The following is an 18792-nucleotide window of genomic DNA, read 5'->3' as shown; positions in this document are numbered from 1 at the left end:
CCCACCAGGCCCACAGCATAAAGTGGCTTTCTTTGGAGTCACTTTTCATAAGTAGAAGTGTGACTGTCTCTCCTACTTGTCTTCACCACCTGTCATGGCCTTGGTTCCTTCACCGATTCGCTGTCACTTCTAATTCTTACCTTCAAAAAAGGCTCACTTCTCACATTTTCTGGTGGAAACGCTTTGTTTGTTTGTTTTTAATCTCCTCTTGCAGGATTTGCCCAGGGATGATTCCAATGTAAAGGCTCTGGGGCTTTCTCTGTGTGGAGAAGGGTTAGGAAATTCCTCTAGGGAAAAGGTAAAATTGGCCTCTCTTCCTTGGAGACAGAATAACGGTTCTGTTTTTTGTTTTTTTTTTTCTTGAAGAGTTGAAGAGGGGCTCTAAAGAGCCATCCTTGAGTATAAATGCCACAAGCACTTGTCTTCTGCCATCAGTGGTAGCAGGGCTGTGACCCTTGATATAGGAGGAATCAGCTGAAGGGCTGAGAGGCCGGCTATTCTCTTCTGCCGCCCATTTGTCCTGTTCCAGGACCATTTATTTGTTTCCCTTTAGATCTCCTCTTCACAATCCACGCTGCCTTCCAGCTACTGGGCAAGAATTTTTGTCAGCCTACCAATTTTGTTGAGGAAGTAGAGAAGGCAGAGGAAGAACCCAGGTCTTGATCCTGTGTTCAAACCCCAGCTCTGCCCAGTGTGCAATCTGTCTCTCTCTCTCTTTTTTTTTTTGAGACAAAGTCTCGCTCTTGTCCCCCAGGCTGGAGTGTGATGGCACAATCTCGGCTCACTGCAACCTCTGACTCCCGGATTCAAGTGATTCTCCTGCCTCGGCCCCCCGAGTAGCTGGGATTACAGGCGCCTGCCACCATGCCCGGCTAATTTTTGTATTTTTAGTAGAGACGGGGTTTTACCATGTTGGCCAAGCTGGTCTCGAACTCCTGACCTCAGGTGATCCACCCGACTCGGCCTCCCAAAGTGCTGGGATTACAGGCGTGAGCCGCCGCACCCGGCCGCAACCTCTCTTAGCCTCTGTGAGCCTCAGTTCCCTCCTCTGTAAAATGAGACTAACGATGCCTCCCTAGCAGGGCAGTTGTGAGGCTTGGTGAAAATGTATATAAGGCCCCCGGCAGAGTGCCTGGCCCATGAAGCCACCTAATAAATATTTAGTGTTAATAAGCCCAAGTTTTTAGGTGAGATCATTACAATTTCACTTGCTTTAATCCTGGCTGTGCATCCAAAATGGTATGATTGATCGGTCTCTCCGCAGTTTTCATGGCGTGTCTAGTGCAATAAATGGTTTGCTGCCTTAATGATTGTTGTTGTCAGTATCACTATTGTGATGCCTATTGATGGGATGGTCTCTTTTAAAGATAGATTCTTGGGTGATAAGTAGTTACCTGTAGCCGAATGCATACAAAGAATGAAACCTGGGTTGTTTTATGTCTTTTGTCTGTTTTATGTTTGAAAAATATGAATTAATCTGTCAAAATAAAAAGAGAAAATGTTTAACCAACATTTTTAACCAGCCAAGCCACATTTTAACCAAACACCACGTTTAACCAACTAAATGGGGGCACTTGGACTAATTGGGTCTGAATTCTGTGGCGACTCAGGGTATCCTTGGCAACTGTTTAGGAGAGAGCTGAGCTTCCCAAAGCTCTGCTTTCAGATGGAGGACGCAGAAAGGTTAGACTTTGAAAGCTCTTTTTGTCTGTCAGCCAATGTCTGCAGGCAATCTGTGCTTTTAGAGAGCCTGTCAAATTACAAGGAAGGTGTGGGTGGCCAGATTATTGCCCTTGAATAGAAATATTATACTTTTTCAACGAACGCTGGTCTTGATTAAATAGCTCTCTGGTTAAGAGGCAGCATAGAAAAGTATCTTAACCCTAGTTTAAGAACAATCTTAAGGGTTGCTGTTTCTTTGTATCTTTTCTACCGCAAGCTGTTGCTTTGCTATTTATAGGCCCTCCCTGTAAAAGCTCTGCTGCTTGAATTGGGCCATTAGTAATATTGACTACGATGACTGGATTCTCTTTACCTTTTTTGCAGAATTGAGTATTTGCTGGAGACTATTTTAGTACAACCTAGTTACACATCAAAGTATAGCCTAAGGAAATAATTAGAAACACCAAAAAAGCTAAAGAAATTCTCAGGATTACTCCTACTAGGAAAACTTTGGAAACACCCAAAATGTCCAGCAACGAGGACTTGTTGAGGAGATCAGAGTACACCATAAGATAGGAGTTTTATATAGCCATTACAATTTTCATGTAAGAGCGTTTTTTTGTTTTGTTTTGTTTTGCTTTTTTTTTTCTTTTTTGAGACAGAGTCTTGCTCTTGGCACCCAGGCTGGAGTGCAGTGGCACAATCTCGGCTCACTGCAACCTCTGCCTCATGGGTTCAGGCAATTCTCCTGCCTCAGCCTCCCAAGTTCAAGTGATTCTCCTGCCTCAGCCTCCCGAGTAGCTGGGATTACAGGCACCTGCCACCACACCCAGCTAATTTTTGTATTTTTAGTAGAGACCGGGTTTCATCATGTTGGACAGGCTGGTCTTGAACTCCTGACCTCAGGTGATCCACCCGCCTCAGCCTCCCAAAGTGTTGGGATTACAGGCATGAACTGCCGCACCCGGTCTATGAGTAGTTTTTAATGGCAACTGTTTATGATGCAATGTTAAAGTAAGACACAAAATTGTATGTTGCACCTGATCTTGACTTAAATCAATAAAGATATACAGATGAAAAGACTGTAAGGAAGTGTACTAAGCTGATAATTATACCAAAGTTGTCACTTGGGCACAGGACTGTAAACGATTTTTCTTGTATTTTTTATTTTTTCCCATATTTTCTAATTTTTCACTATAAACATAAATTACTCTAATTTAGGTTAAAGTGTTATTCAACAAATGCAAAGACAAAATCTTGTAGTTTCAGGGAAGTAATGGTGGTGGAACCTTTAAATTAGAAATTGGTAGTGAGGGGCAGCTGTTGGATATTAATGTTTAGCACTTATATAACAGTTTGCAAGAGGTTTTTAAGGTGTTTGATAGCACCTGAGCTCATTTGCATACCCTCCCTCTGTGGTAGGCAGCAGGGATTGTAATGATTTTATGGATGAAAGAAAGGCCGAGTGTGGTGGCTCATGCCTATAATCCCAGCACTTTGGGAGGACGAGGCAGGTTGATTGCTTGGGCCCAAGAGTTCGAGACAAGCCTAGGCAATATGGCAAAACTCTGTCTCTACTAGAAATACAAAAATTAGCCAGGTGTGGTGGCGTGTACCTGTAGTCCCAGCTACTTGGGAGGCTGAGGTGGGAGGATCACTTGAGCCCAGGAAGCAGAGGTTACAGTGAGCAGAGATCACGCAACTGCACTCCAGCCTGAGTGATAGAGCAAGACTTGGTCTCAAAAACAAACAAAGCATAGAACAAGCACTGCAGTTTCCTCCCATGAAATCTTTAAGCTGTGAAAGCAGGGCCTACATGAAGACATGGTGCCACCATCCCTTATTCACAGAAGCATAGATGATTGATTAGGATTGGCAGGGACCTTAAAAATGATGTGTAGTCCACTACCTCACCAAGAGGAAACTGAGGCAAAACAGTGAGTTAGCCTAGTATTTGAGAAGATAACTCCCATGCCTTGTTATTTAGGATGAAGGATGTTCTAGAGGAGCTTTTTGGTTTAATAGATAGCATGATTCCTGCTGAAGACCTCAATGAAAAGTGGGGGAACCCTGAATTTTTACAGATTAGACTGGGGACAGGGTAGACAGAAAGAATATTGGCAGCCAGAGACTCTCATGCTTCCTGAATTCCCTGACTGATCAGTGCATCTGATGCTCTCCTTGGCCCCTTGTATTATAACAGCCAGACTATCCTAGCCCTCTTCTGTGAGACCTCTCCCTTACCCGCTTCCAGCTTCTGCTTCCTGGGTTTCCACGCCTCTTAGTGTCTCTAGCATACTAGCCCATCTATGATCACTTTCACATTTAGGTTTCAGGGTATACTCCCCTCAAGGTGGTACAAGAATTCTAAGCTTCACTCCCTCCCATTTCTCTGATGTTGTTTGTCAAGGTGGTCACAATCCAGATTCAGAGGAGCCAAATACTCATATTCTCCAACAGTTACCATCACTGATTTATTTTTTTAACCAGTGCTTAACTGAGGATTAATTTTTTTTCCATAGCACCCAAGAGTTTGCAGGGATTCAAGAAAAGGCAAGTATGAATGTGATGATGCTACTTTTAGAGTGAAACAGATAGCTGGATTTGTTTTTTGTTTTAGAAATGGCACCTTGCTTTGTTGCCCAGGCTGGAGTGCAGTGGTGTGTTCACATCTCATCACAACCTCAAACTCCTGGGCTCAAGTTATCCTCCCACCTCAGCCTCCCAAGTAGCTGGGACTGCAGGCACACACAAACATGCCCAGCTAATTTGTTTTACTTTTTTGTAGAGATGGAGTCTCACTATGTTATCCAGGCTTGTCTTGAACTCCTGGCCTCAAGTGATCCTCCCACCTTAGCCTCCAAAAGTGCTGGGACTGCACCTGGCCCATAGCTGAGTTTGAATGGAGGTGCTCCCTTTGGCTAGTTAAACCTTTGCTTCTTTAAGTGTGAAAAGAAGGTAATAAGAATCACATAGACTGGGAACAGTGGCTCACACCTGTGATCTGAGCACTTTGGGAGGCTGAGGAGAGGATGGCTTGAGCCCAGGAGTTTGAGACCAGCCTGGGCAACATAGCAAGACTCCATCTCCACAAATAAAATAAAATAGTAAGAATATTGGCCAGGCATGGTGGCACACACCTGTAGTCCCACCTACTCAGGAGGCTGAGGTGGGAGGGGATTACTTGAGCCCAGGAGTTTGGGGCTGCAGGGAGCTGTGATCATGCCACTGCACTACAGCTTGCATGGCAGAGCCAGACCTTGCCTCAAAAAAAAAAAAAAAAAAAAAGAACATAATAGCAGTGGGCCAGGAGAGAAAGATAGGACATGCTACCTCAGCTCCACTACATACAGATAGGTGAACAAGAAACTACAGGAGAGAGAACTTCTAAAGGGCTAAACAGAGACACCCAGAGGACACCCAGAGGAGTGCAGAAAGGGCAATTTTTATCCAATGTCTGTGCTAGTCAGGGCTAAGGTATACTATGCTGCAGAAACAAATAAGTCTGGAAACATCAGGAGCTTAGTACAGCAAAAACTGATTTTTTGCTCAAGCAAAATCTGATGTGCATCACCAGGGCCCTGCCCCATCTGGGGACCCCGGGATGCAGTTATCTTCCATCTGGTGTTGCCACCAACAGGCAGCTTCTAGGGTCACTGAGGCAGGGAAGAGAGCACTAAAAAGGCCATACACTGGCTGTTAAACGTTGTGTCCAGACATGACACATGTCACCTCCACTGATATTTTGTTGACTAAAACTAGCCACATGGCTTTGCCTAACTCCTAGAAGATTGGAAGTTTAGAAGAGCACATGGGCTACGGGTGACCATTAAAAGTCTCTGCCACTGTACTAATGTTAATTGAGCCCTCCCTATGTGCCAGGCACTGTTCTCAACACTGTATATGGCTGATCTCATTTAATCCTTAACCTTATGAGGTAGTTACTAATATCTGTATTATATTGTACAGATAATGCACTGAGACCCAGAGAGTTTAGGTAACTTGCTGGTGTCTCATAGCTAGTAGGTAGTGGGGTCAGGATCAAAGCCAAATAGACTTTAGGGCCTGAGTTCTTAACCTCTGCACCTGCTCCCTCTCTAATGCCATCTCTCCTGGAGGGATTTCTGTAAAATTATAGGCAATGTAAATAAAGCACCTCATATGCAGTGTCTGACATGTAATAGTTCCTCACATATGGCAACTGTTTCTATTATTATTGTTGTCGTTATTGGCTACCTAAGTCCCTTCTGACTCAAGGCAGGGTATAAATAGATGACTATGTGATAAAGCTTCATTAAAATGTACCTCTTTTGTCCTGGAATCTGGGGTTGCATGGAATGTTTTCATATAACATTGCAGAGAAGTATCAAGTAAATGCCATCACCGGGAAGGATTTTAGCAAGTCGTGCACATGCTGACCCGGTAATGGCATGAAAGCAAAGTCTGCATTTTAATTACCGCCCCACCATGTCTCGTTACTGGTATCTGCAAGGCTTCTCTGAGCAAAATTGAAGGATACAATAGTCGTTTATTTTGTATTTGTTTTCATTAAACATTACCACTGATCTTGACTTGTTCTGTAGGTACTTAAAACACAAATACTGTGTTGTAAAGTGATTTCTGAACCTCTTTGTGTAGCAAAAAATATATCTGGTCTTGAAGTGACTCCCCTGTCTCCTTAATTGACATCACTCCTGCTTCTTCTCAGGAAGGCTCAGCACCTAGAGCCTGCCTGATGTGTGGGCGGGTGAGCAGGTAGCACTACCCTGGAAAAAGGAGCTGTTCTGGATTCTCTAGATTTTCATAGACCAGTGAAGGATATCATTGAGTTTGTGGAAGGACTGGGGCAGTTAATGGTGTGCATAAACCTGTGTGATTGTGGTGGTTGGTGCCATAGCTTCTTGCCAGGTAGGAGCTGGAAGGCGAAGTCTTAGTACTTGAGAGATATTTCTCCTTCTTCTTTAACATTGGGATTTGGGGGATGGTTCCTTCTTCTTTCTTACCTTCTTTCAAGGAGCGTGATTTCTGCTATAGGCTGTAGCCCATCGTTTCTGACAAAACAAGATGCACTCCTAGGGGTCTCTCATGGGGTAAATTCCGGAGTGGACAGTGCTGTGCTTAGCAGTGGGACAGGAGAGAAAGATAGGAGATGCTACCCCAGCTCCACCACACACAGACAGATGAACGAGAAACGACGGGAGAGAGAACTTCTAAAGTGCTAAACAGAGACACTCAGAGGAATGCAGAGGGGGCAATTTTTATCCAATCTCTGTTTCCATTGCCCAAGTGTCAATACGTAATCCAAAGATCCTTCAGAAGAACATTCACTTAAAAGCCAAAATGATATTGGAGGATCTAGCTGAGGGTGGCCGAATCACATATGTGGATGCCTCTTTTATTCTGTTCAGAACCCACAGGTATTACTGTGTCTGAGAACTAAGTAGGTCACGTTAGGTAATGAAATTCCCCAGTATCATTTTGGCTTTTAACTGGACATCCTTCTGAAGGATCTTGGAATTAGGTATTGACACTTTGGCATTGGCAACATACTGGATAAAAATTTGGCAAGTCTTTAAAAAGAAGTATTCTGTAAAATAACATATACTCTATGATTACAACTATATAAAAATACCTATATATGTGGCCAGCCTCCAGACAGAACTATACATAGTGAAGGAAGTTATTTTATAGTGGTGAGATTATACAAGAATTTTTTATAAATGTTTTTGATATTGTATTGCCCCCATTTTAATGAAGGAAGAACAAATTATTATTCTGTTATAGCCAAAATATGACATTTTAACAAATCAATGGGAAAAGCATCAATGGTGAAGTTCAGAGAGAGAATCTTTAAAATAACTAAAAAAATAGTCACATTTGCAAGGAAACGCTGACCTTTGGGCAGAGAACTTGAAAGGGGGAAAATTTTAGGGAAATACAGGAGGTTTTTTAGAAGTCAATAGATCCTAATCATTAGGGATTTGCTATTGATATTTTTCAAACATCAGAGCAAAGCCAAGAGCATTCTAAATTTTTTTTTTTTTGAGATGGAGTTCCGCTCTTGTTGCCCAGGCTGGAGTGCAATGGCGCTATCTCGGCTCATCACAACCTCCGCCTCCCAGGTTCAAGCAATTCTCTCTTGCCTTAGCCTCCTGAGTAGCTGGGATTATAAGCCACCACCACGCCCGACTAATTTTTTTTGTATTTTTAGTAGAGACAGGGTTTCTCCATGTTGGTCAGGCTGGTCTTGAACTCCCTAGTTCCGCCTGCCTCAGCCTCCCAAAGTGCTGGGATTACAGGCGTGAGCCACCACGCCCAGCCAAACATTCTAAATTTAAGAAGAAAAAAATTATCCATAATCACAGAAATGCCACAAACCAAACCATCTTTCTGTTTGTTCCTTATACTCTAGCATTTGCCCATCTATATCCAAACATTTCACGTAGCTTTAGATGCCTTTTATTCAGTTCCCCCCACCCTTGGCCCTGCGCTACAGAAGACATAAATATTTTCACCCGATACTTTATTAATTTAAGTATTCAAAAAAGCATTACTGATTACATTTTAAAACACTGTTATTCTTGAACATTTGTTGACTTGAACTATCTAACCTTCTCTAAAAAAAAATTATTAAGATGATAGCTTGAAAGAGATGTCAGGCTTGTCATCTTCCACTTGAACAGAGATGAGGAAAGGTGATGGGCACAGTGACCTGGACGCCACCCCTCTGGGATGCCTTGGCCAGACTCTGCAGCGGAGGGCACTGGCCCTAAAGTCCCTTCTAATGCTTCAAGCATTTGGTTCTACATTCTAGAATTTTTAGAGGCTGACATTCTCGAAAGGTGAGCTGCAGATGAAGAAAGACCCAGCACATAGCCTGCGCCAGAATCCTCTGGTGGCCTGAGTTGGGGAAACGGGGTGCCCGTACGGGGTTCAGAGCCCAGGAACCTGCCTTCAGGAACCTGCCTGGCCTGTCCAATCCGAAGCTTTGCCCTTTTAAAACCAAATTGCTCTCTGCAGTTTAAGCTCCTGGCCATTTCCTGTTTTGCCCTGATTCAACCTGCAGAGCCGGATTGCACCCTCTTGGCCGGGTCCTGGGAGAGCAGCCGCCTCCGGCGCCTCCGCTGTGCTCGGCCAAGTGGAACCCCTGAACAAATGCCCTCGGGAGCGCTCCCGGCCTGGCCGGCTGCAGTTGGAGACACAGCGCCATCTAGTGGAAGAGAGAAAAAAGCCCCAGTTGCTTTTTTTTTTTTTTTTTTTTTTAAATTAGTGGAGAAACCTTGAAATGGACTGAGAATCAACCTTTCTCGTTTGATACCAAAGGAGCTTGAGGCCAAAGCAAATCCAGAGAAGGAAATGGATTTCCTGAGTGTCACACAGCCAGCCAGTGGCAGCTTTGACGCTACAGAACCTCATCATTTGAGGCGCAGTTCAGCAGTCTTGGCACCATGCCACGGTGAGGAAACCAGAAGGTGAAAAAGCTAATTTCGGTTGAGTGGCATTTCAGAGCTCTGCTGAGGTGGAGGTGAACATATGCTGGGGGCTGATGTCGAAAGAGAAGTTGTCAGTTATTTACTGTTCTACAGAATGCCTTGGCTGGACTCTCGGTGATGGGTGCAGGGCTAGGGAAAATTCAGTTATCTGCCCTGCCCCTTACACTCCAATCGGCCCTGAAACTCACACAGGATAAGATCATGTAAATTACACTGGGTTAGGGAGCAGGAGGGGCCACAGAGGGTCACTCGTGCCCTGAAGGTGGAGAAGGGAACGAGAGTTTACGGAATGTTGGCCCCAAAATTTCTTATCCCCTTTTCCCTGATAAGGAAAAATTTGAGCCTCTGATCTCAGTTCTACCTCCTTCTCCTGCTTCTTAGAAACTCCTGCAACTCTGGGTTTCTGGTCTTGAGATCCCAGACAAGGGGTGGGGCCAGCACCCTTGTTTTCTGCTCTCTGGAGACTGCCGTGACCTGGATGAAACAGGACTGCCGTGAGGAACTGCGCAGTACTTGGACTTTTCAGCCAATCTACAGCTAAAAGGCACATCCACGCAGTAGACTGTTGCCCACGATTGTGGAGGGGGAAATGCTAGCTGCATTATTCAGTGTCAGTTTCAGGGGTGGAGGGAAAGGTTAAAACCAATGCCTAACTTCATTCCTTCAAAAGAAAATCCTAAATGTTGACTTGAAACATATGGCTATGCTTTGGGATAAATCGTAGTCTAGTTTCTCATGGCTATCCTAAAACAGCAAAAGGATCTCTCGGCTGCATTCTCTTCCTTCAGAGCCTGGGCCCTTCCCTTAACTCCTAGGCCATCATCCCAGCAGGAAGGACCAAGCCCATCTTGCCTTAAACCGAAGGTTGCTGGCAGAGTTTCAGGCTGTATACGTGAGTATGAAGGGTGCGCAGTTAACCTTTAAACTCAATGCTTTGATTTCATTTTTTAAGAGGTTGATTTGAGTAAGGGAAACTTTGAATGCCCTTTTCTCTTCTAGCCTAGGGAATCTGACTCAGGGACCTTTGTGGACTGGAATGTCCTGAACTGGCCAAGACTTGACAAACCCTCGGGTGCCTGAGTCACAGTGCAGCATCACATGGCCTGGTTTGCCCCAGGTTTGCCCCAAGCTGCCCCTACACAGAGAGCTGGCCCCTCTCCAGGGCCTGCTCCACCTGGTTCTATCCCCTCTCCAGGGTCACTGTCCTGCCCTCCAAAATGCTTCTCCTCCAACGCACTTGGTTACAACTGGGCTTTGTTTCAGTGCCCGGGAGCCTGTTGAGATGTAGACTCATAGACAGTTCAGTTTTCCAAGCCAACACATCCTGGAAAAGGAGTTGTAAAGAATATCTTCATGATGCAGACCATATTTTCCCACAGAAACACCGTCATAACTGGGGTGTGCTCCTGACCAGAGACCTGGCTCCAAATGCATCCTGGTGATATCCCCAGCATAGTCTAAAAGCTAACGTATCCCGGAAGCTCTGCGATCATTTATCAGAAGAACTCTCAGACAAGCCTTTCGTCCTTGACACTGGCAAGGCCCTCAGCGCGTGACTCAGTGTCCTGCACTGAGCCTGTCCCTCCCCAACCACACATGCCGGATCCCCTTTCCCTCCTCCCCTGGCCTTGATCTTGAGGCTGTTAGCCTGCTAGTTGTTCTGCATTGGCTGGTTCTTCTCTTTTCCTCTCTGAATTCCTTTCACTAAAAGACTTTGGAACAATTCATAATTTCATACGCCTTCCCATCCCTGCAACTCCCACATGACAGAATCCACCCTGTGATGAGCCTCAGACTGTCATAACAGCAACCCTCCACAGATGACTAAGCCTAAGGGAACCCCCATGTAACACAGGTCAGAGCCCTCACACAGCCTGAAGATACCTCAAATCCTCTACGCCTTAAGGTGAAAGGGTAGCTAAGTAGGACATTTCTTTTCCCAAAAGATGTTTGTTGAGTTCTTTCCATGTGTCAGTACTTTCCAAGGCTCTCTCAGGAGACAGATACGAATAAAACGGACAGGCCAGCTGTGGTAGCTCTCACCTGTAATCCCAGCACTTTGGGAGGTCAAGGCGGGAGGATCACTTGAGCTTAGGAGTTCGAGACCAGCCTGGGCAACATAGGGAGACCCATTTCTACTAAAAAAAAAAAAAAATTAGCCAGGCATGGTGGTGTGCACCTATAGTCCCAGCTACTCAGGAGGCTGAGGTGGGAGGATCCCTTGAGCCCAGGAGGTTGAGGCTACAATAAGCCATTATCACACCACTGCACTCCAGCTGAGTGACCGAGTGAGACCCTGTCTCAAAAAACAAACAAAAAAACAGATGAAAAAGTTTTGCTTATATGGAGCTCTAGAGGGGAAGGTATAAATGGCATTTGTCCAATGAGCAGAAAGGCTTGGGAGTCGGGAAGTCTGAGGAGCTAGTCTAGATGCCTCCACTCAGAGTGGAGGCTAAGTCACTCCCTCTCTGATCCAGTCTCCTCATCTGGAGAATGAAAAGATCGGACTTGGTCACAGGGAAGGGCTCTCAACTGTGACCCGCCGAGGGCGCTTCGATTCGTGACCCTATAGACTCTTTGGCTTGTACTAGATAGACTCTTAGGCTTCTCAGCCAAGAGACTAGAGCTCCCCTGCCTCTCCTTCAGTGGAACATTTGAGCCAGCTCCCCTCTCTGCCCCCACAATTCTTTTCCGCTTTGCTCATTCTTTGGCCTTAAGAAAGAAAGAAGAGAGAACACATCTCCTTCACGTTCACCTGCCTGCCTTCCCCTCTTATTTCCTTTGTACCCCCACCTTCTCCATTTTTATGTGGTCACAAACATTTTTCAAGGACAGTTTTAAGTGACCCCCTTCTTCGAAGATGGCTTTTGTGGGTGGAATGCCTCTTTGGGGTCACTGTGATGCCTTTGGGGTATCTGTCCCCTTAAGCATGCCCAAGGAAGCAGTGGATAGATCCCAGGGAGGCATTCAGTACAGTTGGTGCAACAGAACCACTGGAAAGCAATTAACAGGCTGAACACCAGAGTAAGGACAGTGGCCAAAGAACAGGCACCCTGTGGTAAACAATTACCAGTGTGGGTAGGAACGGCAATGTAGGTCAGCTCTCAGCCAGGAAATCGTTTCACGAGTGCAAAATGCGAATCCTTCTGGAAGTGGGATTTAGGGAAAGAGTTGTTTTGTTTTCTGTGTTTGGGAGGATGACCACCTGGTCACTCTGCACCTCCCCTTGGTTTCTAAGACAGCTGGTCTTGGCATCCACTTCCCTCCAAAAGAAAGTGGCTCAGAGGCCTTTCTAACTTTGACCTTCTGTCTCATGATCATGATGGACGAGGCCAGTTCCTGCTTTACGGACCAGGTCTGGGCTCCAGATAGTGTGCAGGCATTGTATGTCCACGTTTTGGGAGGACTGGATATTTTTTGGCATGGAAGTATTCGATTCTTTCTTGCTTTTTTATGTTTTGAGAACACACAACTTTCAGCATCTAGAGTACTTGTAAAGATTTGACGTTTTACATGAGTGTCTAGGGAACCTGAAATTAAGGTCAATGTCCAGGCTTTAAGGACTGTTCTGGAAGGGATTTGGTCAGCAGAAACAGGGGACTGGGGTTCAGATCTGGTCTAGAGGCTCAGGTCCATATGAGCCACTGTGACATTTAACCTCCTAACTTGGCGTGGGCACAGGCTCTTTGAGTTTACAAAGTGTTTCCGTGTTTCTTCTCTCTCTGTTCCTCAGAACAGTTTTGGAAAGCAGGCAGGGCAGGTGTTAACATCTTTGCATGTCAGATAAGGTTCAGAAAGGCTAAAGCTTTTTAAAAAAAAAGTAGAGATGAGGTCTTGCTATGTTGCCCAGGCTGGTCTTGAACTCCTGGCCTAGAGCAATCCTCCCGCCTAGGCCTCCCAAAGTGCTGGGATAACAGGCGTGAGCCACCCCTGGCCAAGAAAGGCTAAAGCTTTTACATGACAGTCAAGACTGGAGTAAGATCTCCTAGTATGGAGGCCAGGAGTCTTTACCCCAGACAGTAGTGTAATTAGGAGCTCTTCTGAGAGAACCCTGCTCAGACAGGGCAGTTGTACTAGTGAAAACATATTTCCGGTATCTAGCTGTTAACTTTATTCTAGGAAATACTTGGATTTAACAATAACTCAAGGGAGGTTGGGCCCACCACATTGCTTGCTATCAGCATGCGGCCCACTGGATACCACCTTCCATAGAAGGCCCAAGCCACAGAACCCTGACAGGCATTTTCCTGGGTGGTTCCTGATTCTGCTTCAAGAAGACCAGAGGAGAAACTGCATCTTCTAAATATCTGTGGCTCCCTAGGGAAGCGAGAGTTGCCATTTCAAAGGGCTTCAGAGGCTCTGCTCTCTGATCTCTGACCTCACTCCAGTGCATCTTTCCCCTGAGGCTTCATTCCCTGCTGGCATACTTTGACCTCTGGATTATGGGGGAGTACTGACTGAACCCCAAGATCTTCACCTTCTCAGGAACTGCATGGGACATCTCTTTGACATACGGCCCTAATGATGGCGGAACTTTCTGCTAGCCTTTTCTTTTCTTTTGGATGCGGGGTCTCACTCTGTCACCTAGGCTGGAGTGCAGTGAGGCAATCATGGTTCACTGCAGCCTTGAGTTCCCAAGCTCAAGCGATCCTTCCGCCTCAGCCTCTTGAGTAGCTGGGACTACAGTGTGCGCTATCACACCTGGTTAATTTTTTTTAATCTTTTTGTAGAGACAGAGTCCCACTGTGTTGCCCAGGCTGGTTTGCTGGCCTTTTCATAAAAGAACAAAGAACTGTCATCCTTAACTTAGCAATGTAAACCTCCATCCATGAAAAGCACCTGCTGACAGCTAGTCATTTTAAGAAATATAGCATTTCTTAAAATGGTACATGAGAAAGTTTGCAGAAGCAATTGTCTAGAACCCTTCTGGTCTTGCTTCACACTGCCAGCTGAGTTATCTTCCTAAGTGAATCACAGTAGAATCCTGCTTTGACGCATTTCTAACCAGTTGGACCAGCTGCAGCTCACACTGCCCTCAACTCCCCAAATAGCATTCCATGCAGTAAATAGTAGGTTGGTCCAAAAGTAATCGTGGTTTTTGCCATTACTTTTAAATGGCAAAAACCGCGATTACTTTTGCACCAACCTGATACTTGGCATGAAACAGCTTCCAAGGCACTCTCTAGAGCCTCATTATAGAGGGGTAAATGTTAGGGGCAAAGGAATTCATTGTGTGCCCGTAGGAGTTTAATGTCTTTTTTTTAAGCCAGGAATTGAGAAGTGTAACTAATGAGCACGCCGTGAAAGCCACAGACCACCTCATTAAATGTCAGAGCCATTTCCCAGCTTGGGGAGAAATGAACATCCTCAAAGAAAACTCACCTCATCAATTAATGAAGATTTTTTTTAATGTGGTAAATATTCAACAGACGTTTCTAATAGACGAAGAGCATTCACCAGAGGACTTAAAGAAGAAAAGCCCCAGATTTCTGGTGGGATGTGGAGGGAGGAGGGTGGTGGAGAAGGAAGAGGCTTCTCACCTTCTTGACGAAGCATCTGGTCAAGAAGCAGCTGGTTTGTGATTTCAGGGTTCAGATGATTTTCAGTGGCTCTCCCTTCCTTTCAAGGACCCTTCTGTCATTGTAGGTATTGCTTACTCTTCTAGAGCCACCATTAGGATTGTTGTGTGGTTAAAAGAGAGAATCCAGGCCGGGCACGGTGGCTTAAGCCTGGAATCTCAGCACTTTGGGAGGCTGAGGCGGGCAAATCGCTTGAGGTCAGGAGTTCCGAGACCAGCCTGGCCAACATGGTGAAACCCCATCTCTACTTAAAAAAAAAAAAAAAAAAAATTAGCCGGGCATGGTGGCCTATGCCTGTAATCCCAGCTACTCAGGAGACTGAGGCAGGAGAATTGCTTGAACCCAGGAGGCAGAGGTTGCAATGAGCTGAAATCACACCACTGCACTCTAGCCTGAGTGGCGGAGCAAGATTCCATCTCAAAAAAAAAAAAGAAAGAAAAAAAGAGAGAGAGAATCCACCAGGTACAGTGGTGCACACCTGTAGTCCCGGCTACTTTGGAGGTTGAGAGGCAGGAGGATTACTTGGGCCCAGGAGTTTGAGGCTGCGGTGAGCTATGGTCTTGCCACTGCACTCCAGCCTGGGTAGCATAGCAAGACCTTATCTCAAAAACAACAAAAAAAGTTTTTTTTAAAATGTAATATGTGTAGAGCTTCACCTACCCTTTACTGAACAGCATGTGTTGTTCCTACTTGTTAAACACTATAAACAGCAATTCTTAGGTTCCACCGTGAGGATGAGACAAACTTAAGGCTGCCTACGTCTGTTTAAAGCAAAAGAAAAACAGAATTCATTAAAAAAACATTTAAAAAAGCTAGGCACAGTAGTGCATGCCTGTAATCCCAGCTACCTGGGAGGCGAAGGTGGGAGGACCCCTTGAGCCCAGGAGTTCAAGGCCAGCCTGGTCAACATAGCGAGACCCTGTCTCAAACAAAACAAAACAAAACAAAACAAAAATCACAACAAAAGAGAATCCACAAAAAGCTTATGCTTCAGTGCCTGACACATAGCAAGCGTTTGGGGGTATTTGCTGCCTTATGTTATTTAAAATATCATTATTGGGGGAGGACAGTGTCCCTTTGTGTGAAAGGGGAAATAGAGGCAGAAGTCAAGGAGAACTGGTGGCCTTGGCCACTGCAGAAGGTCCCATCTCTTCTTGGGCGTACCTGTCACAGGCCAGTGACAATGACAGTGTTGGAGGAAGTGTTGGAAGAAGCCCAGACTGCATGTCCATGGGCACTGGTCAGGCACCAACAGCAGCCCTCCAGGGTATGTTGGCGGTCTGGGTTATGTGAAGAGAGCAGTGGGGTTGCAAATACAAAGCCTCCAGAGCCTTATTCAAGAGCCTTATTCATTGCCTGGTGCCCTGCAGCAAGGCCCTGCTTACACTGCACCAGCCTCAGCATAGGCCTCCAAACGGACCTCCATGCCTCCAGTCAGTCTCACCCTCGCCTCCCCTGCATGCAGCCGCCAGAGAGGCCCTTCTAAGATGAGCTTCTGACTTGGGTCCTGATACAGCCCTGGGTTAAAATCGCCACTGGCTCTCCTTTGCCTAGGTCAAATCCACACACCCTGGTGTGGTCTTCAGGGCCCTTTGCAATCCCCTTGCCTAACTATCTCTCTGGAAGCATTGGCACTAGCCACTCTGAACTCGCCATGTGCTGGGAGGGCAGGCCCTTTCTCATTCCAAGCTCAGGACATGCCCTTTCTCCTGCCTGGAAGGCCCTTCCCTACCCCCTTCTCTGCCTGGCAAGCTCCTGTTTCACCAGTCAAGACTCAGAGGCAGGGTGGCTTGTCTGTGTGGCCTTTGCTGACTTCTTCCAGCAAGGGCCTTCCTGTGGCTACCTGGTAGGGCACCCTCACACACCAGCTAAAACTCTTGTGCCTCCCTTATAGACGATGACCTCTTCCAGGGCAGGTCTGAGCTCCCGAGGCCTCGCCTAGAACCTGATGTATAGGAGACATTAGGTGTTTGTTGAATGCAGTGCCCTCTGTATGCAATGCCAGAGTTTACAGCAATTTTCGAAAAGTCTGACTTGATGGGTAAGATGCAGTGCTTCAATCGAGTAAAGGAATTTCTTTTTTTTTTTTTTTTGAGACGGAGTCTCACCGTGCCGCCCAGGCTGGAGTGCAGTGGCGCGATCTCGGCTCACTGCAAGCTCTGCCTCCCAGGTTCACGCCATTCTCCTGCCTCTGCCTCCCGAGTAGCTGGGACCACAGGTGCCCGCCACCACACCTAGCTTATTTTTTGTATTTTTAGTAGAGACGGGGTTTCACCATGTTAGCCAAGAGGGTCTCGATCTCCTGCCCTCGTGATCCACCCTCCTCGGCCTGCCAAAGTGCTGGGATTACAAGTGTGAGCCACCGCGCCTGGCCGAGTAAAGGAATTTCTTTTTTGTCTGTAGCCGAAGAAATAAAAACCAGTCTGATGGGCAGGAGGTAGGGGTTGGGGAGTTTCTCTTCTCCATCTTCTGTTGCCTCCTCAGACTCAGTTGCACCCCAGCTCTGAAAGGGACCCCGGGGAATGTCTGCTATGGTTACTTTCCATCTCTGCCTTCGCACACTGTTTTGTTAAGGAACTTTCTGCTCACCAATATGTTTCCTGCTATTCGAGAGGCAGCCGCCCTTGCCAACCCCACTGCCACTTTCTGCATGAGGCTTGGGTATTGCAGAACAACGTAGCCTGGCCTTGGAAAACACTCTTTGGGACTTGCCATCTGTGGTCTCTTTCAGCCTCCTTCAAAGGCACACTGTGAACATTTATACCAGAAATTTGTCCTAGACATAAAAATTGTGTCATTGATGATTAAAGGATGGTAAACACCATTTAATCACCTCCTCATTTTTGTAATAACAAAATGCCAAAGCACTGGGGCCTGGACTTGAAATGTCCTCTGAACTCTGTAGCAAGGGCTCTCATCTTGGGTTGGGGGGATCAAAGTATTTCAAAACCACCTGCCAGTTTTTCTTGCATAGATGGGCTGGCTGATCCTGGTGCCCATTCCCTCCTGCCCCCCAGATTCGAAATGCCCCTCCTTTGCCTCCTTTGTCCTACCGCTGTCACCAAGCAGGACTTCACCATTAGAGACACTGGGTCTGAATCCCAGCCCTCTGTTCAGTGGCTGCGCCACCATGGCCAAGTTGCTCTTCCTCTCTGAGTCCCATTTCCTCCTCTGTAGAATGGAGGTAAGACGTTTGTCTCAGGGGAACACCCTGAAGATCAAATGAGAGTCTGTGAAGTTCTTAGTAGACACCAAAAACAAGTTCATTCCATTCTCCTCATCCCTTCTTTGTTTTAGCTAGAAATTCCCCCCAGGTTCCACCGAAGAAACGGCACCCCAGGTGGCCACATAGGAAGTTCTCTGGGCACTTTCACTGTCTGGACAGTGCAGCTTCGGCACAGAAAGAATGAGGCCTTGGGCAAAACATAGGCCATCTTCCTCTTCTTTCTACTGCCTGGGAAAAGCTCTACACACAGACCAGGCACTTCATGGCAAGGGGTTCCACAGATTTGAACGCATGTCTGGGCCAGCAGAGGTGGGGAGCATTGTGGTGCATTTCCATGGGGGGCAGTGAAAGGCAGTAAGCTCTCTAGGAGGTATGCCAGGTAGTGCTGTAGAGTGACCAAATGGCCTGGCTGTGAGAGAGAGACCAAGAAGAAGCACCTGGGGAGAGGGTGAAAGCTGACCGATGAGGCAGGGCCATAGCAGGGCTATGGTGGCAGTGGACAGAGAGCCCTTGGTGGCCCACCAGCCATTTGACTCCCTGCTCAGGACTACTCCTCTTACTTTAAGGTTGCATTTGAGCACACTGCAAGCATGTCCACCCATGTTCTTGACCTCACTGTTTTTAAAATGGAGACAAGTCCCTACCTTACAAAGTGGTTGGCAACGATGGTGACAATGATGCTGTCCAGGTGCCGTTTTGGATGCTGAGAGCTTCATGTGTATCCACACATTTAATTCCTACAACCCTGGGAGGTAAGTACACTAACAACCTGTGTTTTCAACACTGGGAACTAAGGCACAGAGAGGCTAACTAACTGCCCAAGGTGGCCTGA

At 46.3% G+C, this 18792-nt stretch overlaps 1 long non-coding RNA gene across 2 annotated transcripts, besides 1 other annotated feature; it reads left to right on the top strand.

The window, feature by feature from the left end:
* Positions 1-8546: 8546 nt before the first annotated feature.
* LOC105376826 (uncharacterized) lies at positions 8547-11181 on the top strand. 2 transcript variants are annotated; one of them, XR_947032.3, is made up of 3 exons: positions 8547-9118; positions 9537-10047; positions 10535-11181. It is a non-coding gene; the product is annotated as an uncharacterized LOC105376826 (long non-coding RNA). The 2 variants fall into 2 exon arrangements; XR_007065526.1 differs by having other exon boundaries at positions 8547-10047.
* Positions 9681-10880: an enhancer, noted in NCBI's record as "CDK7 strongly-dependent group 2 enhancer chr1:20537509-20538708 (GRCh37/hg19 assembly coordinates)". NCBI's record gives its function as "activates an origin of replication core promoter dependent on BRD2, BRD4, P300/CBP, MED14 and CDK7 cofactors, with strong dependence on CDK7, by STARR-seq in HCT116 cells {active_cell/tissue: HCT116}" and the evidence as "EXISTENCE:reporter gene assay evidence [ECO:0000049][PMID:35650434]".
* Positions 11182-18792: the final 7611 nt, after the last annotated feature.

The sequence above is a fragment of the Homo sapiens genome, chromosome 1, assembly GCF_000001405.40.
Source record: "Homo sapiens chromosome 1, GRCh38.p14 Primary Assembly".
NCBI lineage: Eukaryota > Metazoa > Chordata > Mammalia > Primates > Hominidae > Homo > Homo sapiens.
The sequence above is the reverse complement of the archived record's forward strand: the minus strand, read 5'-3'. Positions and strand labels throughout refer to the sequence as shown.